Source organism: Homo sapiens, chromosome 5, assembly GCF_000001405.40.
Source record: "Homo sapiens chromosome 5, GRCh38.p14 Primary Assembly".
NCBI lineage: Eukaryota > Metazoa > Chordata > Mammalia > Primates > Hominidae > Homo > Homo sapiens.
The window spans coordinates 58,095,468-58,122,966 of record NC_000005.10 but is presented as its reverse complement, the minus strand read 5'-3'; the positions used below and the strand labels follow the sequence as shown (position 1 = coordinate 58,122,966).

Below are 27,499 nucleotides of genomic sequence, written 5' to 3'. Positions count from 1 at the left end.
GAAAACAGCAAGGCTTCGGGAGAGCTCCTGCTCATAGCTAACCATTTAGTTTGACACTTGGTTCTCAGAAAAATATGGTTAATATCTACATGGCCAGATTTTTTAACTACTGAATAAGATATATGTAGCATCTGTCACCTAGACAGAGAGGGTTCCTTAATAAAATGTAGGTACCTAGCGATCAACTACTTTGTGTAGCTATAACCTAAGTTTTAATAAATATATATTAAAATAACTTATTATATAGAAGTTTCATTTCAGCTTTCTTTTGCTGGAAGCATAACTGAGAATATTAAGGAATATATACCAGTTTCTGCCTGAGAAATATTTTAAGAGAAAGAAAAGAGGGACTGGGGAATGATAAAAAGAATCACAGGCAGATAACAGCTGCCATCCTGAGACCAGCATGAATCCCCATAAATAATTTATTTAAGTTAACGCTCATAAAATTCTAAAGAATCTGACTTTTTTAGATTTGGTTTGTAATTAATTTGATAACCTGAGCCAATCCTTTGAGTTGCCCTGGCAACCAATTTTAGTAACATAAAGAAGTGCTAGATGTTAATTGGTATTCAGAGTTAGTAGCTAGTGTCTCTGCTTCTGTCTCCATGGTAACCTAACTGTCATGTTTTCATCTCTAGCATGGTGGTGAGATTTCATATGTGTGTGCCTTAATGCACAGGTCCATAGTCTCTGGCACGGTGTTTTAATTTAGTATCTCTAAATGTGATCATTTTTGAGCTATTAGGGTTATTGCTGAAAAACTATTGTTCCAGAGAAGCCAATTTCATCTTCTCTCTTCATCTTCTACATGTTGCTAGCTTCCATTTTGGGGGATGTGTGCATTAGGGTTTGTATGGATACCTGCATGGGAATAAGTCTGCATAACTCTGTATGTATGTGTGGAATATAGATGTTTTAAATATGCAAAATAGGGCCAAATTGTATAAATAAAAAATGATTTTTCAAGAGTGTTTATCTGAGGTTAGAGGTAGTGAATATCATATTTGAGAGATAAATGTCAAACTAGAAAAAGGAGATTCAGTGTTTTCTGTGCTGCAAAAAATATTCTCACACTGCTGGATAATGCAGAGATGTTTCATATATCTAATTTCTAACAATTTCCTATTTAACAGACTGTAGTTCTCCCCTATGTTACCTTCTCTCTCTTCATTTTTCTACTTAATATTAAACTGAAGTTAGCTCTTCTAATTTTTGATATTTACTAGTCTTTTTTCCAGTCTCTGGACTTAAATAGAATTATTTCCCAACCTTAAATGGTCAGCCAATTAGCTGTAGTTAGTCCTCATTGTTATCATAAACACAGCAATATCATGATGGAGCCAAGGAAGATGATTTGCAATGTGTAGTAATTAATCCTCTTAGAGAGGCAGCATGCATATTATAAACAAAGCTAGCTCTACATGCATTCAACACTGGGTTCAAACTCTGGTCTTTCCATTTACTACCGCTTGGAGGAAGAAAAAATATCAAGACAATTTTTAGAACAAATTTAAAAACCTCTCATTCTCCAATTTTCCTTCTCTGTAAATTAGGGCCAATTATACAACGGAAATTGGTAAATTCTACAAATCAGTGATCCCCCTTAGTATATGATACTCCCACCATGGTTGACTTTAAACCTCCAATATGATGTTATTAAGCATGGAACTTTATAGAGATGCTAACAGTTGTCTCTCACAAGCCAGTGTGAACCAGCTCCAGCACACCACTATTTTATGTTTGTTTTGAAGTTTAAATAAACTATGCTAGGTAAAATACTGGGTACGTAACAGGCTCCAAAGATCTTAATTGTCTCTCTTAATAAAGTGCACTCTCCATTTCTTTCTATTAAAAATATTAACAGTCTTATTGAGAAATAATTCACACACCATACAATTTATCCATTTAATTTTCCGTTTCTATTAATACATCTGTTGATGGGCATCATATACATCTAATATTTATTTGTAGAAGACAAATTTGCAAGTGTGGTGCCTTTAAAATATGTCCCAAACTATTTGATACTCCTTCCTTCAAAATGTGGAGCCTAATTCACCTCCTTTTGATTATGGCTTATACTTAATGACTTGCTTCCCACAAATAAAATATCGTGAAAGTGATAGTACATTGCTTTCCAGACTAAGTCATAAAAAGCATAAAAAGCATCGTGGTTTTCTCCTTGCTCTCCCTTTTGAAATTCTTATTTTGGGAGAAGGTTGCTATCAAAGGGCTCAGCTACCCTGTGCCCTATACCCTATGGAGAGATTCATGGGGCTAGGATCTGAGTCCTCCAACGAACAGCCATGTCAGTGAGCCATCTTTGAAGTTGATTCTGCAGCCCAAGGCCAGCCTCCAGATAACTGAAGTTCTCACAGACATCCTGACAACAAACTCACCAGTCGTCGGCTAGAATTACCCACCTAAGCTGCTCTCTAATTCCTGATCGACAGAAACTGAGATAAAAAATGCTTATTGTTTTAAGCATTAAGTTTTTGAGTAATTTATTACACAGCAATAGATAACTAATACAGCATAATTCATAGTTTTCCAAAAGTCTAAGATTTGGGTACAATAGCATTACGTTTTAATTACAGAATACAGAGAACATGCAGACGAACACTTTAATATTCCCAAGGACTGACAAACAGCTTAGAATGCTGTCAAGAGGGGAGTTGTTATTTATATTCACTATTAATAACCAATTTACTGGGTATTAGAGGCTCATCACTGTCAAGGAATTTCTGTGTTGTGTGTGTAGGTATTTAAAGCAGTTTTCTAGATCAGTTGTGATCTGGGACATCTCTGGGAAGATGTGCTTATGTATATAACATGAAGGTCGACTTGACTGGATTCCCAGAAGCATGCGAGGTTAATTAACTGGTAGCATCAATCTTGGAAGCTCAGACACCAAACTTAAGGGCTATTACAGAGGTCATTATGATGGTCAGTGATGCAAGAAAGAGATGATATATATTTCTTTTAAGGCAGAAATTCCTTTTATGCTTTTCAATCATATTTAAGTGGATATATCCTTGATGTGCTTTGTTTTACTTAAAGCTTTAAATAGATTTTTTTCTTTTATAGTAATACCTATTTAAGAGGTAGACAAAATATTTTTTAAATAATAAAATATATATGACCTATATTTTATCTTGAGTTTCACACCTTAGAAGAGTAGATTATTTGGTCCATTTATATTTTACTTTCAAAGAGTGCAAGGCTGATAGCAAGTTCTCACATAGTAATCCATGGAAAAACTACCTGTTAAGGTATGCATATTTTAGCTTGAAATCACTGAAGTGGCACAGCAGTGGCCCTAATGACCCCAAGCCTAATATATTGGAAGAAAAATCCCAAGTGAGTCTTAATTAAGTGAACCACTAAGTAAAGCATACTAAGACAATACTAATTGCACTGATAAACATAAGCAGTGTGAACAGGAAGTACATAGATACACTTGTTAGGGTTTTATTCATATTTGAAAAAAAAAGGAAAGAAAAAGAAAAGAAAACTTTACATTTTTTTCATGAGGTCATCTTCAGTGGTTTATTTCAAAGATGCTGCACAAATTCCAAATAAAGATAAGATGAACTGAGATGGAATAAAAGTAAACACTTCCTCAGCATATTAGGTTATTTTTAAACTCTTCAGAGTGGACTTTATTTTATTTTAATCCCATTTTCCCAGAAAGAATTTCTTAACTGAACGAAACAAACCACAAGAGGACTATCTGGTTGTGCGACTACCCATATTTAAGGTTGACCTTTTTGAAGTCTAAAGTCAAGTCAGTTTTTTCTCCCATACCTTCTGCTTTGCTGTTGCTTATTTTTAAAAGTACTGTACTGCTAAAGTCAATAGCTGGTCCTCTTCTCATACACTTTTTAAAAATTGAAAATATATGAGAAAGAGTAATTTCAATTTGAGCATTTATTTTATTGAGGGCTGTGTAGAAGCCTGCTGAAAAATTACTTCTCTAATAGTAAGTAACTCTTTAATTCCTATTATTATGATTTTTAAATAAATTAGCCAGTTGGAAGAACTAGGTGATAGACATATAAGGCAAAAACTTGCTGGTGAGAACAGCATCCCGACTTCTATACTGTCAAGCTACTTAACAGTGAAAAGACCAGTCTCTACACTGGCATTGGGATGTAAGATGTGTTCATTGTTTTCCAGTAACTCTTAGTCTCGAAGGGAAGACAGACATGACTTTAAAAATTACAGTAAATGCTAATAATGCTATGAAGGACAGACATAAACAAAGCACAGTGAGAGAAAGAAAGAGGAGCTGCTAGCTTTTCCTCTAGGACTTGGCAGAGGGTTTCCTAAAAGAGGTGAAGCACTGTAAGAAAGCACACAAGAGACATGGAGGGCTTCTGGGAGAGATGGTATTTGAGCTAGGACTTGAAGGATGAACAACAATTTGCCAAAACCTGCTCTTCCTTCTTTTTCAGGTTAGTCACAACTGAATCTTTCAGAGGAGGAAAGAGCAGGTATGCAAAGTCAAGCAGTTAGGATGCATTCAATGTGTTTAAAGAGTAGATGTTCAACATGACTAGACTGTACATTTGTGTCTGTGGGTCATTTAGAAGATCTGATGGGAGAAACAACAGGACTGGTGGGATACGGGGCTTAAAAGATTTGTGGAAATTAAGCTATGAAGACGTGAGTAAGCCATATTGTGGGTTTGGATTTGATTTCATATATGATAGCTGTTTGAGATTTTCAGCAATGGGGTGATATGATCATATTTGTTTTTATAAAAGTTACCACATTTAAGTAGTAGGTGAGCAGTATGATGGATGAGACCATAGTTTCTGGAAGATCATTTAGGATATTACCACAATTGTATACACATATTGATTCTCCAGTACTGGTGGCAGAAAGCATGATCACCAAATTGGTGTATTACAGATACATACAGGGAAATATTTCCCAGTGTGAATTCCAATACTTTAGAAGAGACTTTGATTCTCTGATTGGCCCAGTTTGGATCCAGTGTCCACCCATGTAACAATTAGTTGTGGCCAGGAAGCAGGGTCATATGGTGGGAGAAAGGCTTATCAGAATTCTACTTCTGCAGCACAGCAATGGGGGCCTCAGAGGAAGGGACATTGTTGTGATCTGGGAAGACAACTCAGTAGCTTTCCACTGGGGAGTACAGATAATATATTTTGTTTGAGGCACATTATTCAGCTCTTAATGGTTGTAATTTAACCTGAGCTTGGCGTCAGATGCAATCAGAACAGACAGACACCGATTGTCTTCAAATATTTGAAGATGCAGTAGCCTTGGTGATAATGTTTAGTTCTCCACTGAAGGTGAAAGATAACATCTTTTAGAAATCTGGAAATAGATGGCTTCCAGGAAGTTTCAGTATTATGTTTCAAAAAAAGCAATCCATCTTCCTCCTTTGCTTTTCTCTGAGAGTGAAGAGGTACTCTACCTTCCTAAAAGCATTTTTAAAAATCTGTAGCTTGGAATAGCAACTGGGAAATAAATTTAAGAAACTTACTTTATAAACTACTGGTTTTTACTGCAGTTTTTTATTGTCTACACGGTCAAGAGTTTATGCTGATATCAAAAGTTTGGCTAGAGTTGTGTTTGCTTGAACCTCTGCAGGCTTAGGTTCCTAGGATCAAAATGAATTTATCTTAACTGAGTGCATTATTTCTTTTACCCTCTGATCCTGATTAAGATTTTCAGTAGTGTGTGAGTTTCCCACACATGGATTATTTAGCTTGGGGACTGTTTAATATTTTTTAAATCCTAGGTTTATTTCCCTCATTCTCTCAGACAAATTTTGGGTTGCACCCATCCAGCCCCTTCATCCACACCTGTGGGATATATTTCGGAAAAAAAAGGCTAAATAAGGACAAGTAAAAAGATAAATAAGGACAAGAAAAAGATAAATATCCATCCCACTCTACCCTTCCAAAGCTCTACCTAATCCATTCCAAAGAAAAAATGTGAAAAGTGGGTTATTTCGGAATAACCACATTAGAGAAATCTTTTTAGCTTTCAAAATTGAGTTCCTTACTATGAAAATTCATGTATAAAACCAAGAGCTCTAATAATTTTCAAGACAAGTGCAATCTTAGACATTTTAGATAACAGCATTATTTTCTGCGCATAAATAGCATGTGTGGGTAACCCTCAGTGTATGTGGGTTGAAGGAATCAAAGGAATCAAACAGTTGCATCTTATGCTATTGGTGCCTAGTATACTCGAGATCTGCACAAATGAAGCCTCAGTTTATACCCTAAGCATAAGCATGTCTTCCCCACAAAAGATTTTAAACCTTCTTTCCAGACACTAGGCACAGAACAAAGAGCAAATGAAACAGGAACTGTGGAATAACACTGTGTTCCCAAAGAAAACATAACTGCCATAGATCACAGAATGAAAGCCCCAGAGCACGCAGCAGAGAAGTCCAGCAACAGGAGTCAACATTTACAGAAAACCCTGTAGGAAGACTGTGGCACTACCAACTGATCAACATGTAGGTACTTTAAAACTACTTTTAAACAAGGAAATCGTAATCAAGTTATGAGACCTAGGAATCAGAATCCTGAGGCAGGAAGCAGGTACCTTAGTGTACATAACATATTCCAGCTAAAATGTGGAATTCAGGCTGGATCACGATGGATTAGCAGACATAAACAGTGCCTTATTAGAATCATAACCTACTGTAAATCTTCTATATTTCGTTTACTATAACATACAGAATAACATTAGAGGGATTCAATTACAGGGTCTGGGCTGTCATTCTCCACAAGTTTAATTGCCTTCTTCAAAAATTCACAGGTTAATTCTTAAAGAGTTATGAAAGTTGATTGAGTGAAGAGACCCTGACTTACTCCTTGCCTGTATTCTTGCATGTGGTATGGACAGAAAGAAACTTAGAGCTGAACAGAATGCCTAGCACCTGTTTGGTGCTCAAGTGAACAGATTCACTTAATCTCCCTGGATAACTTTGTTCTTAGGTTACAGAACTCATTTTATACTGCAGCCAGGCTGAGGAGGGCCCATCACCTGCACATAAATATTTGGACAGTGGCGACAACTTGAAGACAGCTAGCTGCAGAGTGATATTCCAGAATAAGAGTTTTGAAGCTCCAGATGGTGAGAGATTATTGTGTTTATAAGTGTAACTGGGGGATAAAAAAAAGTTTTCAAATTGTAGAGGCAATCTCTAGGTGCTGAAGGAGTATAGACTCTCCCATGAATTGAAGGTTAGTTCAGGAAAGTTCTTTATTCTAAGTCTGGAGATGCCTTCAAATCAGAGCAGCGTAGAAGAAAAGGGTAAGTCTGGAGTTCCTGGGAAAGTCTGGTGCACAGACAGAGAGAAAGGACATGGCTTTCTTGGAGAGCATGTGAGCTGATAGACTAGCTCTTAGAGTGAACACAGTAAATACCAATAAGATTGAACCAACTAGGAAAGACCCAGTGAACAAAAGGGTCCTCTGATGGGAAGAGCTAGTGGACAACTGGAGGAGAGGAGGGGCAGAAACAAAGAGGGCCTGGAGAGGGTAAGCAACTCCTTAAAGACCAATCAAATTACATTAAATGATGAATGATGAGATGAAGAGTGTGCTGTAAATAGAGGGCCAGGAACTAACATTAACTGACAGTCAACAATAAGCACATGAAAAGCATGTTATATATTCATCTCATTTGATTATCACCACAGCTGGAAAAATAGAACAGATTAAGCAACTTACAGGCATCAAGTCCCTAATAGGTGCAATGTAGCAAGAATAACCCAAAAGAAGTAGACAAATTATAGATGCTTGAGTCACATTTATAAGGGTATCAATCAGAGTTCTGCCAGAAAACAGATGACACCTTCAAATGGGGAAGTGTGTAGAGAATTTAACAAGGAGACTATTCACAGAGATGTGGGCAGACATAAAAAAACAATAGAGAATACCGCAGTACTCCAAAACTAGTAACAGAAAGGAGCATTTTTCACCCAGAACCTAAATGGCACTTAAAGAGGGTATGGATCCTGGAATATGGAGATTTTCTGATACCGAGAGGGCCGCTTTGTCAGGTGTTGTGACCTTTGGGAGCGTGAGGCAGCCAATCTGCAATGACTGCATAGGAAACAGCCTGAGATATACAGACCGTGTCCTCACTTCTCTCCCTTCTTTGATCTCTCATTAATGCCTCTCCCCACCCCTCTCATTGCCTAAACTCACCTGGAAACCGAAGGACAAAGAGCTTGCTGAAGGAATCCATGCATCCTCCCTAATGGGGCAGAGGACAGGGAGGAGAGGGCGACACAGGAAATCTGGAGGAGAAAATTGGAGCTTCCCAGCCCAGGGAGTCGATCACTTCTGACCACATAAGTCAGTGGTTCTCAAGATTTCGGGGCAGAAGAACAATCTGAGTTTTTAAAAGATGCATATGCTTGAGTCAGCTTCCCACACATTCCAGATATTCTGATTCATTAGGCCTGGGATAAGACTCATGAATCTACTTCTTCAACAGTGACAGTTACTAAGCAGGTATTCATTGGATCAGACTATGAGAAACACCTCCTTGAGTAGAGAAAGAGAGTCTCTCTTTGTAGCCAAGTTGGCCTTTGGGAGCCAACTTTCACATCATGGTGTTCTGTTTAGGGAATTCCTGGCAGGGGGAGGGGTCCTAGCATCATGTAGTATCATGATTACCCAACTTCTATCTATCTGTCTGTCTATCTATCTATCTATCTATCTATCTATCTATCTATCTATCTATACATATCATCTATCTATCTATCTATCTATCTATCTATCTATCTATCTATCTATCATCTATCATCTATGTACCTGCCTATCTATGTATCATATATCTATCAATACAGGCTTTGACGTTAGTCACAAATGAGCTTGAATTCTACTTAAAATATGTGATCTTAATCTCTCTAAGCCTCAGTTTCCTTCTCTCAAAATAGAGTGATGAGACCTACTTCATAGGGCTGCAATGAGGACTGTATGTGATTAAATGTAAAAAAAAATAAAAAATAATAACTAGCATAATCTTTGGCACAGAGTAAATCTACAATTATTGATATCTATGGCATTATCATTATTAGTCTATTATCGCTTCGCATTGCTTTGTTGCAATCTGTGTTCTATGTTAACATTAAATGTGGTATTCAGAGTCAAAGCAGGAATCAAAACTTGATGGAGAAGACTATGTGCACTTTACTCATTTTTAATAACGCAAATAATGATTTCGTCTTGGTACCTAGAAGCTTTTGATGTAAATGCAGGGGAGAAATGGCAAGATCAGCAAGAGGAAAGAGACCTAGTTTACTTTCCTTTGTCCATTATCTATTCAAAGACAATGGAAACAATAGACAGAGCAGCCTTCTAATAAGCTGGGGGATTAAAAAATCTTTTCAGAAAAAAAGCTGTAAAATTCGTTCATGAGATCATTTTTATGAGAATTGACTTGTTTAGCTTAAGGAATGTTTAGAACCAGGGCCCTGCCAGAGTTTGTGTGCAGAACACTATCGAAACGTTTCCTGTATAGTTAGTAAACAATAAGTCCTATTGTTTTGTTGGAGTTCAGGTGGCCCCAAGTTTGGGGGTGGGGTCTCTAAATCTCTTCCTAGCTCCTTCCTATTCCCGCTACGCTTAGTTTCAGAAATGCTGGAACATACCCTCGAAGCAACCACTGAAGCCCTTCCAGCAGAGGAACCGCAGAACTCAAAAATCCTAGCTGTAGGTTGGGTCCACACTACTAGGGAGACCTCCAGCCCAGAAAGCAGCTTGGCGATAAGACGGAAGAATGAAGGAGCTCCAGTTTTGAAGCAGGGTTGTTTTTTGTTTGTTTGTTTGTTTTTATTTTTATTTTTTTCCTCCCTTTAGAGTAGAGAGATTAGGGCTGAGCAGCTTGGACATTGGACCAGATGGAAAGGTGGGTTTTTTTTGTGTGTGTGTTTTTTTTTAAGACAGAGTCTCGGCCCTGTCGCCCAGGCTGGAGTGCAGTGGCACAATCTCAGCTCACTGCAACCTCTGCGTCCCAGGTTCAAGCTATTCTTCTGCCTCAGCCTCCCAACTAGCTGGGACTGCAGGCATGCGCCACCATGCCCAGCTCCTTTTTGTATTTTTAGTAGAGACGGAGTTTCACCATGTTGGCCAGGATGAGGTGGGCATTTTTATAGGATTCATTCCCCAATAGTATAAAACCTAAAGACAGTAAAAACACAAAGTTGTCAGAGATTTGCCATATTTTCAGGTATTAAAGGAAAAGAATAAAGTGTTTAGGAAAAATCTTGAAGCAGAAAAGAATAAATGGGATTTAAGATGAATTGTTTAGCCCGTCTGCCATAATTTAAAGCAGTTTTTCTTCAAGTGGGGGTGATTTTGTCCCTGAGGGGACATTTGGCCATGTCTGGAGACATTTTTAGTTGTCTCAGCTTGGGGAAGGAGGTGTACATGACATCTATTCTATATAGGCCAGGGATGCTACTAAACCTCTTCTAGTGTTGCACAGCAAAGAATCCTCAAATTCAAAATTCCTATAGGGTCAAGTATTTCCACACATTCTAACTTGCTGTTTCAAGTCTTAGCAAGCCTCAGAATTTCACCAAATTATTTGGGTATCTAGACAGACTCTGATTAACATTCATAGTTACATATACTAGGAAGAGTTTTATTATGGCCTTGTGACACCGAATGTTGAGAATTATTTAAGCCATCATTTACCTAATGCCACTTTATCTTGAGGGACTTTGATAGTTAATGGCCAAGTTCATTCTCAGAATAGTAAAACTTCCAGAACAAAAAGAAGTTTTGCTAGGCACAACTAAAGCAGTTTCTTTGTCTAAGATTTCTTAGACCCAAGTAAATGGTATCAGAGCATTAATATGTGTGGAAGGAAGGGAGGTCTGTGGTGTGATACTGTAGCAAAAACAGGAGAAATTATTTATTTTTTAAAATTAATTATATTTTAAGCACCATACAAGGTCATTTAGAGTAACTAGATAAATATTTAATCAGCTTCTGTTTTTCTTTTTTTGTCACACACATAAGCTAGGGTATTGAAAGTATCTTCTGGATTGCCAATTTGCTAAGGGTAAGAAAGACTTCCTTTATATTTTGGCCCATCTCCTTCAAAGTGTTCTGTTAATAGATTTTTCTTCTGCCTTTGGGGAAACTTTCCACTTTAGGAAATACTTTTTGATATGAACTTGGTTGAAATTTACCTTGGCCACTACTCCTTCCTTGTGGCATAGTAACAACTTTTACATTTTAATATTTGGACTTGAACATTCAAATTGGTAGGAAAAACCCTACCCAGCCTCTCCATGCCTTTGGAGGATATTAGTATATATTTCACATAATGGGCTTCATCTCTTATTGAAGCTTTTAGATCCAAGAGAGGAAGGGCATGGTAAGAAAATTAGAAGTTGTTACTGTCAGAGAGATCATTGAATTGGTAAAGATTCATGAAATTAGCCAGGTAAAATGTAAAGCCCTAGCCTCAGTTCTGTTTGTATTGCAGTTTCCCCTAAATTGCAATTTTTTAGAGACAAGAAAAACTATAATAGAGGATACAGCTTAATTATGAATGACTTCAATTGAGCTGTCTCTACTTGAATATAGTATTAAAAAAATTAAAATCTATTGAAAACTATGAACTTGAAATTATTCACAATGCTTTTGCTTTACTTGGTTAAGATTTTGTCTTAGAAAGCTATCATCGAGGTAATGTGTTCTCTATGACCCTACTTAGAAAAAAAATTCTCTCTCTCTACAAATATATACACATATATATACACACATATACATATATCATACATATATATTAAAATTTATGCATATCTTTTTATATTAAAATGCTATCCTATTTTAAAGTAAATTAGTTAACTGGCTAATTTTCAGCTATTTGGAAAGTGACAAATTGATCATGAGAAAGCTAAAATGACAAATTCAAAATGGCTAAATTCATATAGTTATTGAGCTTTCAACTGACATCTACTAGTCCTAACTTTTTAAACAGAGGGACAAGACTGACAGTGACTATGTTGACCCTTAGTGGTCTCTAGCTATGATATCTGGGTAATGAGGAATTATTTAGGGTTGTAGTTTTTTCTTCCAGTTTTCCAATCCTACCCATCGCCATTGTATTTCAAGCTTGAAAGATCAAGGCTGTTTTCATGGTAGATTTCAAGTTCTGCCTGCCTGGGATTCATCTCCTGGCCAATATAATTGAGGATGCCATTTCCAACCCTGCTCAGTGCTTTTCATTCTTTTCATTGACCTTTAAAAAATAATCATAAACTCAACATTCACTGGGAGACTCAGGCTACACCATGGTTTACTCTTTTTTTAATAAAGATGTGCAGAAAGTCTACTCTTGGCAAAAGATTTAGCACTCACTTCTGAAGGACTTTTTCTGGGGTTTTTTGTTATTATCTGAGGGGAACAGTCAGTAGTGTAGATTCAAGAATAGGCAAGAGAAATAGACTCTGGTCAAGTACATATGAGACTGGAACATCTCCAGACTAGAGTAGAAAAATCTAATAAAAATTGTTTTATTATTTGGTGTATTTTTCACATATTCCATTTACAGAAGTAGAAATTAGGCTTAAAATAATGAGGAAAAACAAACACAAAATACCATGAATAAAGAGGTTTTTTTTTTTCATTTTCCTTAGACATGTTATTTTAAACTCAGCCTTCACTAAATAAAGGTGAATTTTTAATTCTATACTATAACATGAAAAAGTTTAACTTGATTTTCTGTGGTAATAGGCCAAGAGAAGATGTTTATAGCTAAAATCAGTGCTCTTGATCACACCTTTTGCACATGATAGAAAAGCAACAATCTGGATCAGTAGACTATAATTCACTTTCCTTCCTCTCACTCATCCTTTTGTGGGGAGGCTCCAAAGAGATGAAAAAAACAAAGATCGGGCAGATGAAAAAAAGAGGTAGGAGAAGTAAAAGGAGGCCAGATGGTCCGTGGAATGAACTAACTCTACTCATCGTTTCTGAAGAGCCGGCTGTGCTAATATGTGGATATCCACTAAAGGTGCTACGAAGGGCAGAGGGAATGTGTTCCTTTAAAAACACAGTAGAGGATGTGTAATCTGATAAGAGTGGTTCTCAAATGGAATTATTTTTAATAAGTAAGAAGTTGTTATTTTCTGGGAGACACTAAAATGTCAGGTCAGTATCATTCCAGACAGACAGAAAGTGAATCCTGCTATAAAGCTGCAAATCCCACAGCATAACCTCCAGCGTTTCCTCCTCTCCCCTACTTCTCTCCTTTCACCAGTTCCCTTTCAAGTCCTTTGATATCAAACCCTGCACATAAAGCCATAAACCTGTTCACCTGTGTTTCTCTCTTCCCCTTATGCTGATATTAGCTTGTTTACCCCGGTTCTGAGTTTCATTTACATTTCCTATTGCATAAAACATGAGCCAAGTAAAAACTGATCCACCTGTGCGTTATGTAGAAAGAGGCAAATTGGAAATCAATGAGCCAGAAACATTTCAAAATAAAATAATCTTAAGGGCTAGACTTTTAACATGCTATCCAGAAGCCCTGAATGTATCATAAAATAACACAACACAGGTCAACTATACGTACAGAAATCAGAATCCTTTGCTGGACTTTATAGATGATTTGGTGCACTTGTTACTAGCCTTCTTGGGTCAAAGACACATTGGAGGACCTCAGAAAAGGCAAGGAAATTCCATTTTGAAGAAAACATAAGACTGCCTGACACAACAATGTGCATACAATTTCAGAACATTAATGGAGGCCTTAGAGCTCATTCACAGATCTATGCTAAGGGCTCCAGAACTCCCCCAGTCCCCTCGGTGTGTGTGAATGACTAAGTCAAATCCAAAGTCAGAGCAGCTTGCAGCATAAACTGGCCTCCAGGTTCCCAGTCCCACTACTCTTGATCATGATGTCAGCTCTCTACAGAGCTCTGAGATAAGGGGACACTGATAATTCCTGAAGTGATTGTACTGATTGAATAGCATCTTCAAAATTTATTCTACTTGGAATTGCAAAATGTTACCTTATTTGGAAAAACGGTCTTTGCAGACATAATCAGTTAAATTAAAATGAGGTGATACTGGATTAGGGTAGGTCCTAAGTCCAATGTCTGGTGTCCTTTGAAGATGGTCATGTGGAGACACATGGGAAGAAGGCCATTTGATGACTGTCACTGTGAACTGGCATCATGTTTAGGGATCATGGTGAGGAAGAGATTGGAATAGTGCCAGGAATGTCAAGGCTCACTGGAAACCACCAGAAGCCAGAACACAGGCACAGGACAGATTTTTCCCTGGAAACTTCAGAAGGAACGAACCTTGCTGACTGATTTTGGAATTCTAGTCTCCAGAACTGTGAGAGAATAAACTTCTGTTTTGAGCAACTCAGTTTGTAGTAATTTGTAATGACAGACCTTAGAAACTAATACAGTGATTTACTGCTCTCTGTTTATGTTTTTACTAATATTGTTTTTAAAAACCTTCACATGTTGTTCCCATCACTGATCCACTTGGTCTCTTTCCGTTTTTTTTTTTAGACTAGCTGACCTGGGTATTAATGCTGGATATAGCAACGTCCTTCTATGTCCTTCTAAATTTTCTTCATGAGTAGTGATAAGTTATGCTGAGAAAAATTCTTGAACCTACAGTTATACAACATTGTTCTTGCCGCCTTTCAAAAATGGACAATGTCTCCCATATGGAATATCTACTGATGATCTTGCAAGAAGGTGAATAAAAAATCCAATGAAGACATAAAACGAGTTTCATTTAAAAAATCTGGTAAAATGGAAGTTTGCTTTACACAAACAGTAAAGAAGCCTTGGAAGATAATGTTGACTTCCCATGCTCAAAAGTACTCTGACTCAGGAAGATAGCTCCAGCCCTTCAAAGGAAGGGCTGTCTGCAATAAATGCCCATGGAGACCTCTCAGCAATTCCATAAGATAAGTGAATTGGCTTAAATCAAATGTTTTGCAGTTCCATTTACAGAGCATTTACTGGCCATCGTGTACTACTCAAGTTACTAGAACACTAAGTTGACTCATGCTTGGAAATACTGGTTTTATGTTGCTATCAGAGTATTGTCATAAATCCACCCACAATTACAAAGAGTCCTACTCTGCTGCTGTAGCTACCTTTAACTCCTTGCCCTCAGCAAATTGTATGCCTAGGGAGATGGACTACTTCGGCCTTGAGAAATTTCCAATTAGGTCATTTTGAGAAGCAGTCTGGATGTGTGGTCTGAAATAGCATTTCCAGTTTTTGCCTATTTTTATTTTTGAGAACTGCTTGCAAATAAATGCCACTGAGTTTGTTAGGAAGAGGTTACTCTTTACTACCTTTGGGAATTGTGCCTTACCCTTAGGTTGCACAGCTTCTATTTTCTGAGTCCCTTCTGATTTTCTCATATGGTTGCTGCAAATTGCAAAATCATTGTAAGCTTCTGTTTCTTCACTAGCAAAATGAGAAATAGTAACACACCTAGGGATTGGGAGGATGAACTGAGGAAATATAGCCATTGGATTATTTTTATAAGGCCCCTACAAATTGATGGCAAAAAAAGACCTGGCCCTTTGAAAGAGCATCCCATCTCCTCAAATGTGTACTAGTGAGTTTACAAGAGGCTATAATGACAGCTGAAGTTATCCTTGTTCAAGTATAAATATGGACTTGGAAAAATAAGTCAGGAATCTATGGAACTGCATTGAAAACTCAGCTGTGCATTGCTTAGTCACATAGGAAACACGGTAAGGAAATGCAATGTGATCAGATCAGCTTAACCCCTAGAGTGCAAGCTGGATACGGGAGCAGGGCAGTAAAACCAGGAAAACTGAGGGGATGGTAGCCTTTTAGGAGAAAAATATAAGAGGAAAAACAAATCTAGGAAAGAAAAATATGAAGCAGAGAAAAGGCTGTGAAAAGAAAGAGAAAAATCAGTCTAAGAAGCCAAGATATTTGAGTAGCAGGCAGTGTTTTGAATGTGCAATGATGACAAATAATCCCAAAGATGGATGTGTGTCACACGCTGGAGAGCAGTGACAGTGAGAAGATGAGATGTCTCTAAGGCAGACCTTGGTTTAAATCTCAAGTCTGTGGCTTATTAACTTTGCAGTGTCAAGCAACTTACTTCATTCTTCTGAGACTCATCTGTAAAATATGGATAATTACTGTATTTCTGCACTGTTGTGAATATTTTAGTTAATATATGCATATTTGTCCCTAGCAAAATGCAATGAGTAACAGTTATTAGTTAGTCTAAAGAGGAAATAAAGGGAGGGACAACTAAGAGTAAAGTTGTCCACTTTCTACTTCAGCTCTCCCCTCCAAGGGAAAAGGTGATATGTTGGTGCTAAGTCTGACTGAAGGCATCTGGGTCACATGTACCTATGAGAGTCCCTGACTAGAATCTAGTTGTTTCCTGCAATAATATCATATGTATTAGAGCAGGTTGTTCAACAGAGTAATATGTGTGGTTATTTAAATTTAAACTAAAAGTTAAAATATGCTTTGTTTCAATAGCTACATTTCAAATAATCAACAGCCACATGGCTGGTAGGCAGCATACACACACACACACACACACACACACACACACACATATATTTACATATATGCTGTGCATATATATGCATATCTTTGTGTATGTATGTGTATTTCTGTCATCACAAAAAGTTCTATTGTCTGACCTTGCTTGACTACGGTGGATTATGTGGCCAAAAAAAAAGTAATTCCGTAAGTCAAGAAAGTGGGCAAAGATTGAGGAGAGAAATTAGAATAGGAAGATAGGGCTTCTGCTGAGGGAAGCCCTTCTCTTTTTAAAAAATACCTGAGGTGATGGCAGTAGAAAGGAGTGCTTAAGATTAGAAAGGTGAGTTAACCATAAACTGTGATGTCTATGGCCTGGGGCAAGGATGAAAGGATTGCAGCCACACTTGAAATTTGCTCTAGGAGTGGTATTGTGGTCCCAGAAAACCTATTACATGGTGACTAACATGGAGAGCTGCTTACCTAGAGTGGTGGTAATGTGGTGACATCGAGAACTATGTAAAAGTAAAACAGATGCACTCCCAGCAAGTAGACCTTCCCAAATGCATCATACAATGCATGGATAAATAAACATTGAAAGAACATTGGGACCCAAAGTGAAGTTTTGCTATAAGTCTTTTAAATCAAAGTCCCAAGAGAACAAGAAGGAGAATTCCTTATGCTTAATCCACCTAGTATGTAACATGCAGTGAATATATACATAAGAATAGATGGGGAGAGTGCGGATCTCCCAGCATAGAGTTCAAGCTCTGATGAGGGACAGATTGCCTCCTCAAGTGGGTCCCTGACTCCTGTGTATCCTGACTGGAAGACACCTCCCAGTAGGGGCCGACAGACATCTCATACAGGAGAGCTCTGACTGGCATCTGGCAGGTGCCCCTCTGGGATGAAGCATCAAGAAGAAGGAACAGGCAGCAATCTTTGCTGTTCTGCAGCCTCCGCCAGTGACACCCATGACAACAGGGCCTGGAGTGGACCTCCAGCAAACTCCAGCAGACCTGTAGCAGAGGGGCCTGACAGTTAGAAGGAAAACTAACAAACAGAAAGGAATAGTATCAACATCAACAAAAAGACGTCCACTCAGAGACCCCATCTGAAGGTCACCGACTTCAAAGACAAAAGGTAGTTAAATCCACGAAGATGGGGAGAAACCAGTGCAAAAAGGCTGAAAATTCCAAAAACCTGAATGCCTCTTCTCCTCCAAATGATCACAACTCCTCACCAGCAAGGGAACAAAACTGGATGGAGAATGAATTTGACAAATTGACAGAAGTAGGCTTCAGAAGGTGAGTAATAACAAACTCCTCCAAGCTAAAGGAGCATGTTCTAACCCAATGCAAGGAAGTTAAGAACTTGAAAACAGGTTAGATGAATTGCTAACTAGAATAACCAGCTTAGAGAAGAATGTAAATGACCTGATGGAGCTGTAAAACAAAGCACGAGAACTTCATGAAGCATACACAAGTATCAACAGCCAAAACGATCAAGTGGAAGAAAGGATATCAGAGATTGAAGATCAATGAAATAAAGCAAAAAGACAAGATTACAGAAAAAAGAGTGAAAAGAAATGAACAAAGCCTCCAAGAAATATGGGACTATGTGAAAAGACCAAATCTATATTTGATTGGTGTATCTGAAAGTGATGGGAGAAGGGAACCAAGTTGGATAACACTCTTCAGGATATTATCTGGGAGAACTTCCCCAACCTAGTAAGGCAGGCCAACATTCAAATTCAGGAAATACAGAGAACACCACAAAGATACTCTTCAAGAAGAGCAACCCGAAGACACATAATTGTCACATTCACCAAGGTTGAAATGAAGGAAAAAATGTTAAGGGCAGCCAGAGAGAAAGGTCGGGTTACCCACAAAGGGGAGCCCATCAGAATAACAGTGGATCACTCTGCAGAAAACCTATAAGCCAGAAGAGAGTGGGGGCCAATATTCAACATTCTTAAAGAAAAGAATTTTCAACCCAGAATTTCATATCCAGCCAAACTAAGCTTCATAAGTGAAGGAGAAATAAAATCCTTTACAGACAAGCAAAACCTGAAAGATTTTGTCACCACCAGGCCTGCCTTACAAGAGCTCCTGAAGGAAGCACTAAACATGGAAAGCAACAACTGGTACCAGCCACTGCAAAAACATGCCAAATTGAAAAGACCATCGATGTTATGAAGAAACTGCATCAACTAACGAGCAAAATAACCAGCTATCATCATAATGACAGGATCAAATTCACACATAAAAATATTAACCTTAAATGTAAATGGGCTAAATGCCCCAATTAAAAGACACAGACTGGCAAATTTAATAAGGAGTCAAGAACCATTGATGTTCTGTATTCAGGAGACCCATCTCATGTGCAAAGACACACACAGGCTCAAAATAAAGGGATGGAGGAATATTTACCAAGCAAATGGAAAGCAAAAAAATAGCAGGGGTTGCAATTCTAGTCTCTGATAAAGCAGACTTTAAGCCAATAAAGATCGAAAGAGACAAAGAAGGGCATTACATAATGGTAAAGGGATCAATGAAACAAGAAGAGTTAACTATCCTAAATATATGTGCATCTAATACAGGAGCATCCAGATTTAGAAAGGAAGTCCTTAGAGACCTACAAAGAGACTTAGACTCCCACACAATAATAATGGGAGACTTTAACACCCCAGTGTCAATATTAGACAGATCAACGAAACAGAAAATTAAGAAGGATATTCAGGACTTAAACTCAGCTCTGGACCCAGCAGCCCTAATAGACATCTACAGAACCCTCCACCCCAAATTAACAAAATATACATTCTTTTCAGCACCACATCACACCTTTTCTAAAATTGACCACATAATTGGAAGTAAAACACTCCTCAGCAATGCAAAAGGATGGAAATAATAACAAACAGTCTCTCAGACCACAGTGCAATCAAATTAGAACTCAGGATTAAGAAATTCACTACAAACAGCACAACTACATGGAAACTGAACAAACTGCTCCTGAATGACTACTGAGTATATAAGGAAATGAAGGCAGAAATAAAGATGTTCTTTGAAACCAATGAGAACAAAGACACAACATACCAGAATCTCTGGGACACATTTAAAGCAGTGTGTAGAGGGAAGTTCATAGCACTAAATGCCCACAAGAGAAAGCAAGAAAGATACAAAATCGACACCCTAACATCACAATTAAAAGAACTAGAGAAGCAAGAGCAAACACATTCAAAAGCCAGCAGAAGACAAGAAATAACTAAGATCAGAGCAGAACTGAAGGAGATAGAGACACAAAGAACCCTTCAAAAAAATCAATGAATCCAGGAGCTGGTTTTTTGAAAAGATCAACAAAATAGATAGACCACTAGCAAGACTAACAAAGAAGAAAGAGAGAAGAATCAAATAGACATAATAAAAAATGATAAAAAAGAGAATATCACCACCGATCCCTCAGAAATACAAACTACCATCAGAGAATACTATAAACACCTCATGCAAATAAACTAGAAAATCTAGAAGAAATGGATAAGTTCCTGGACACATGCACCCTCCCAAGACTAAACCAGGAAGAAGTCGAATCCCTGAATAGACCAATAACAAGTTCTGAAATTGAGGCAGTAATTAATAGCCTACCAACCAAAAAAATTCCAGGATCAGACAGATTCACAGCTGAATTCTACCAGAGGTACAAAGGGGAGCTGGTACCATTCCTTCTGAAATTATTCCAAGCAATCGAAAAACAGGGAATCCTTCCTAACTCATTTTATGAGGCCAGCATCATCCTGACACCAAAACTGAGCAGAGACATAACCAAAAAAAAGAAAAGAAAAGAAAAGGAAAGAAAATTTCAGGCCAGTAACCCTGATGAACATCGATGTGAAAATCCTCTATAAAATACTAGCAAACTGAATCCAGCAGCACATCAAAAATCTTATCTACCACAAAGAAGTTAGTTTCATCCCTGGGATGCAAGGCTGGTTCAACATATGTAAATCAATAAACGTAATCCATCACAAAAACAGAACCAATGACAAAAACCACATGATTATCTCAATAGATGAAGAAAAGGCCTTTGACAAAATTCAACATACCTTCATGCTAAAAACTCTCAATAAACTAGGTATCAATGGAATGTATCTCAAAATAATAAGAGCTATTTATGACAAACCCACAGCCAATATCATCCTGAGTAGGCAAAAACTGGAAGCATTCCCTTTGAAAACTGGCACAAGACAGGGATGCCCTCTCTCACCACTCCTATTCCACATAGTATTGGAAGTTCTGGCCAGGGCAGTCAGGCAAGAGAAAGAAATTAAGGGTATTCAAATTGGAAGAGAGGAAGTAAAATTGTTTCTGTTTGCAGATGACTTGATTGTATATTTAGAAAACCCCATCGTCTCAACCCAAAATCTCCTTAAGCTGATAAGCAACATTAGCAAATTCTCAGGATACAAAACCAATGTACAAAAATCACAAGCATTCCTATACACCAATAACAGACAAACAGCCGAATCATGAATGAACTCCCATTCACAATTGCTACAAAGAGAATAAAATACCTAGGAATACAACTTACAAGGGATATGAAGGACCTCTTCAAGGAGAACTAAAAACCGCTGCTGAAAGAAATAAGAGAGGACATAAACAAATGGAAAAACATTCCATGCTCATTGATAGGAAAAATGAATATCGTGAAAATAGCCATACTTCCCAAAGTAATTTATAGATTCAATGCTATCCCCATCAAGCTCACATTGACTTTCTTCACAGAATTGGAAAAAACTACTTTAAACTTCATATGGAACCAAAAAAGAGCCCGCATCACCAAGACAATCCTAAGCAAAAGGAACAAAGCTGGAGACATCACGCTACCTGACTTCAAAATGTACTACAAGGCTACAGTAATCAAAAGGGCATGGTACTGGTACCAAAACAGATATGCAGACCAATGGAGCAGAACAGAGCCCTCAGAAATAATACCACACATCTACAACCATCTGATCTTTGACAAACCTGAGAAAAACAAGCAATGGGGAAAGGATTCCCTATTTAATAAATGGTGTTGGGCAAACTGGCTGGCCATATGCAGAAACCTGAAACTGGATCCCTTCCTTATACCCTACACAAAAATTAACTCCAGATGTATTAAAGACGTAAACGTAAGACCTAAAACCATAAAAACCCTAGAAGAAAACCTAGGCAATGCCATTCAGGACATAGGCATGGGCAAAGACTTCATGACTAACACACCAAAAGCAATGCCAACAAAAGCCATAATTGACAAATGGGATCTAATTAAACTAAAGAGTTTCTACACAGCAAAAGAAACTCTCATCAGAGTGAACAGGCAACCTACAGAATGGGAGAAAACTTTTGCAATCTATCCATCTGACAAAGGGCTAATATCCTGAATCTACAAGGAACTTAAAGAAATTTACAAGAAAAAAACAAACAATCCCATCGAAAAGTAGGCAAAGGATATGAACATACACTTCCCAAAAGAAGACACTTATGCAGCCAACAAACATGAATAAAAAGCTCATCTCACTGGTCATTAGAGAAATGCAAATCAAAACCACAGTGAGATACCATCTCACACCAGTTAGAAAGGTGATCTTTAAAAAGTCAGGAAACTACAGATCCTGGAGAGGATATGGAGAAATAGGAATGTTTTTACACTGTTGGTGAGACCGTAAATTAGTTTAACTATTGTGGAAGACAGCGTGGTGATTCCTCAAGGATCTAGAACCAGAAATACCATTTGACCCAGCAATCCCATTACTAGGTATATACCCAAAGGATTATAAATCATTCTATTATAAAGACATATACACACATATGTTTATTGCAACACTGTTTGCAATAGTAAAGACCTGGAACCAACCCAAATGCCCATCAGTGATAGACTGGATAAAGAAAATGTGGCACATATACACCATAGAATACCATACAGCCATAAAAAAGGATGAGTTCATGTCCTTTGCAGGGACATGGATGAAGCTGGAAACCATCATTCTCAGCAAACTATCACAAGAACAGAAAACCAAACACCACATATTCTCACTCCTAAGTGGGAGTTGAACAATGAGAACACATGGACACAGGGAGGGGAAATCACACACACACTGGGGCCTGTCAGGGGGTTGGGGGCTAGGTGAGGGATAGCATTAGGACAAATACCTAATGTAGATGGTGGGTTGATGGGTGCAGCAAGCCACCATGGCACATGCATACCTTTGTAACAAACCTGCACGTTCTGTACATATACCCCAGAACTTGAAGTATGTAAAAAAATAAAAGAATAGATGGATAAATGTAAAAAACAATCTCAGAAACCTGATGATGGAGCTACGAAGGTAGCACTGCCACACCTCAAAGAGGAAGACAATGTGCAATGTCTTTGTGCAGGTAGCTCTTGAGATCTGAGGCTAACCAGGGTCATAGCTAATATCTGTGAGCACTGAGCAGGGCCTGGGCTAGGAGCTCAAATGTGTTCTACCACAGTGAATCTTTACAATATCAAAGTGTTGCTATCCCCATTTTATAGATCGCAAAACTGAATCTTAGAAAAGTCAAGACCTCTGTTGAGTTATAATGCGAGTTGAGTTATAATCCAAATTAAAGTTCCTACTGTTGTCTTTGTAGTTGACAAATGCCCACTTAAAATAACAAAGCAAAAATAAAAAAAGAAAGAGAAGACAAACATATTTTAAATGACATGACTGTATATTCCTGCTATCTTCCGCGCTTTACCCATTTATGCAACAAACTACAACTAAAAAAGTAGTATTGAAGGATGAAGAAGAAGAGGGCATGAGACCTTTACTTTTGATGTTTGTGGTTGATGCTTGAAGTTTCTCTGACAGTGCTAACCAGCTCCAAGGCTCTTGAAGTCATATAAGCTGAAAGAAGGAGTGTGCCAGATGGCATCCTGGAGTGGAAGGGTCCCTGAAGCCGTTCCTTTCTGCAGTGGTTTATTTGAGGATTTTATTCCTCCATGTGTGAGTTCTGACGCCTTGGCAGATGGTTTTTACTGAGTATTACAGATGATTCCTTTCTCTAAGCAAAATCCTAGTCCCCAATTTATATTTAACATTTTATCAAACCACCATCTTCTGGAGTATACAGAATTAAACATATGTAGTTAGCTCCACATGTTCTGCCTCATAAAATAACTTTCTACTGCTTTAATTTTCATGTGCAATTATATATGGTTATAAATAATATTTTGATAGCACTCCTGAAGTGGAAATTGAATCTTGACAAAGTATTGTCACTGGAAGAATAGGGAGAGGGATGAGAAAAAATTAAAGATTTCGTACTAAATTTCCCTTTATAGGCATTTATGTGAAGCTGATAAAGGCCTATGAAAAGTCATAGAGGTCACAGGGGTCAAGGTCATAAAACTTGTGAGAACATAGTAAGATTCTATGGTCATAATCCTAGTTAGTGTTGGACACGACAGTCTTGGTTGGTCTGACATGGAGCTCATTCTCTTACTCACTTCCTTATGCCCTGAAACATGTGAAGAAGAAAATGCCCACTGAATGGACCCATGCAAAAGAAGAGGCTTAAACAAATGGAAACCTCCTTAAAGGAAACTTAAAACAAAAAACACCAATATAACATATTTTGAGATTTAAGGGTTACAGTAATTTCAATGACTAGAAATAAGAAAAACCTAAGCAATGTAATATAAAAATGACAAGACACCTTCTTCTTCACGTTCAGTAAGATGGTTTAACTTTGCCGTAATTTTTCTCCAGGTGTATTAGTTTGCTAGGGCTGCCATAACAGAATCCCACAAACTAGGTGGCTTAAACAACATAAATTTACTTTATCACAGTTCTGGAGGCTGGAAGTCTAAGATCAAATTCTTGGCGGGTTCAGTTTTTTCTGAGGCTTCTCTTTTAAGCTTGCAGACAGGCACCTTCTCGCTGTGTCCCCACGTGGCCTTCTTCTCTGTACACACATCCCTGGTGTCGCTCTTCTTATAAGAACACAGCCATATTAAATCAGGCCCCATCCATATAACCTCATTTAACCCTAATTATCTCTTTAAAGATCTTATCTCCAAATAGAATCACGTTATGTGGTGTACCAGGTGTAAGAATTTCAACATAGGAATTTTGCAGGGACACGATTCAGTTCCTAACACTAGGGTAGACATGTTCTCAGAAACTCAGATCTGCCTCAAAAAAAACTTCCTCCAACCCCTCATCTACTTATTAATGAACAAACTCCTGCCTAGTGTATATCTAGTCAGGTTTAAGATGTAGGAGAGCTTAGACCTCAATAAAATCAGTGAGAAAAATGACTATGCATATGGCTGACTGCATTGCAGCAAGGTTTCAATCTGGAATTCCAGTATTGGTATCCAACCTGGAGTCAGTGGGGCATCAATTTGCCAACTGGGCACTATGCTTGGTTTATCATGGAATTGGTTTATAAATCCAGAAACATGTAATTATAGCACGAAACCCACTGGGCCTACATTTTCCATGTCAGGGACACATTTTTCTAAGCTCTCTACCAAACAGAGCTGCTCATGATAGACTTTCCCAGCAGAGATCTCTTGTGACCAAAGAGTTCAGGAATAAGGTTGAACTATTTGAATTGGGTCAATATTATGGGCACCATTAAGTCTAAGAGATAAAGTAAAAGAGGACACAATCTGGCTATAGCAATTAAAATTCATGTGGATGGCATGCTCAAGCATGAGATTGCTGTGACACACCATGCCTGGCTTCACTGGCCACTATGAAGGCACAGTCAAAATACTTGGGGTGATAGCAACAATGATGATGGGGTTATATTATCTGACTATAACATGGAAATCTGAGGGTCTGAGGAAATGAAACACTCTATCTTAGACTTCTTGCCTCTATCAATCATCTATCTATCTATCTATCTATCTATCTATCTATCTATCTCCCATAAGCATGAATATAAGATTAGTAGGGAATATTTAGGGAGATCGTGTTTAGAGGAGAGAAAACAAATTGCAGTACAAATTTCTCATCAACACAGCATCAGGAACACTTAAGAAAAAAATTAGAGAAAAGATGTTTTAGATGTCTAGTTTCCTGATCCTTTGGGAAAACTATGGATTTGTTGGACATGAATTAATGTTACCACCCATGGATGTGGGCCTTAGGAAATTCACGAGATGACAATTTTCCTTAGTATGGTATATTCTTGTATGGATTTTCTTATCCATACAAAGTCAGCAACTGCCCAACTCCCATACAAATATACACCTCCTCCCTCTCCAAACTTACATTGCCCCCTCTTCTCCCAGTACATGCTCCACCCAATTTTTCCTTCAAAATAACAATCAGCAAATACGTCAACTGAAATAGCTGCAGTAGCACCATTTGCATGGATCTAAAAATTATTTCTATCTATGAAACTGAAGTTACTTTTAAAAATCATAGCAAACAGACTTTAATATTTCACTACTCAGAGGAATTTCATTTATCCCATAATAATTCCCTAATTGATTATCCACTTCCCATTATTTAAAAACAGTCCCATAAATGTGAATCAGTGAGAAATCCAGTGATAGTTGTTGTACCAGGACAATGATCCATGAATAGCAATAAGAAGCTAAAGAAACCTGAGAGTCCTGTACTTGGATCTACTGTCTAAGTGAGGCGTGATAGCTCCAGAGTTTTGATCTTCATACATGTTCATATGTAAAAGGGAAGAAAAGGGAAAGAATAAAGCATGCAAGAAATGAAAACTATGGTTAAGTATTCATGGCAAGTCATTTAAGGGGGTCATGATAAAAACTTAGAGCCAAATTTCAGTGAATAATGGAAATAAAACTTGTGCAACCTGTGGTTGACTGCAGCCTGAATATCCATCATCACAAAGGGGAAAACATCTTCTCCAGTGAATTCTTACCCCTGTCTTAGCCCACTTACCATCAAAAGCAATTCCTCTCTGGGTTTCCCACCCTTGCCTAGAAAATATAATGAGAAGAGCAAGCATTTACTATTAAATTACTGTAGGATAGACACTATGCTAAGAAATTTACTTGAACAATCTCATATAATTCTTACAACGCTCTGAGGTGGATAACTGGACTGTCCACATTTCACAGACCAGAAGACTGAGGTTCAGAGAAGGGAAGTAATTTGCCTGAGTTTATATAGCTAGTGGCAAAGTCAGCACCAGAATCCAGATCTGTCATGATCCTACAATGCCTAGGAAATAGCATTTTGTTGCAAAGATTAAAAGTAAGGACATATATGCAATTCTTATTATACTCATTTACTTAATATCTCGTTGGCATGGTGCCTTTCCTTTTTTACAGACAATGTTGTTAGTTGCTTCCTAAGTCAAATTTCACAGGTTGCATTTAGAACCCTCCAGCAGAAGCCTGCTTATGTTCGTAATAATAATTGAAATAGAAACAGATGTATCCAGAATCTGTTCTGAAAATTACCCTTCATGCATTTGTCATCCTTACTGGTGTCTTTACTTTTTCAGTTTTTTATTTGGGACCTAACAAGATGAGAACAGTGTTCTTAGGGTCAGAAATATTCTCTGGGAGTTTCTCTCTCTCCTGTTGGATGATTTCCTTGTAAAACTAGGAGCTGGGTGGGGCTATGCTCTATCTCCTGGGCATCATACCACGTCTCTGGGGCAAAGAAATTGGTTGGTAAATTGCTGCTATATGTTCTCTTTTGAAAGGTTGGAAGAATAGGGGATTTTAGGAGAGCACTGGAAACTCATGAGGACAGAAACCATTTGGCGCTTCAGGCACAGTGCCTGGTACAGAGGAGACGCTGCTCAAGGATGCTCATTTACTGCCTGATAGTCCCTGCCTTGGGCTCTAAAGGATCTAAAGGGCACCACACAGTCTCTGCCCTCAAGAGCTGATGGGGACACAGATAAATAAACAGGGAATTATGTCAAGTTGTCATGGCCTAAAGACATTGTA

The 27,499-nt window shown here is 37.9% G+C and overlaps 1 long non-coding RNA gene across 1 annotated transcript; it reads left to right on the top strand.

Moving 5' to 3' along the window:
* Window positions 1–625: 625 nt before the first annotated feature.
* On the top strand, window positions 626–15,335 carry LINC02101 (long intergenic non-protein coding RNA 2101). Its single transcript, NR_104669.1, has 5 exons — window positions 626–648; window positions 4,458–4,496; window positions 6,316–6,505; window positions 6,990–7,128; window positions 14,552–15,335. It is a non-coding gene; the product is annotated as a long intergenic non-protein coding RNA 2101 (long non-coding RNA).
* Window positions 15,336–27,499: the final 12,164 nt, after the last annotated feature.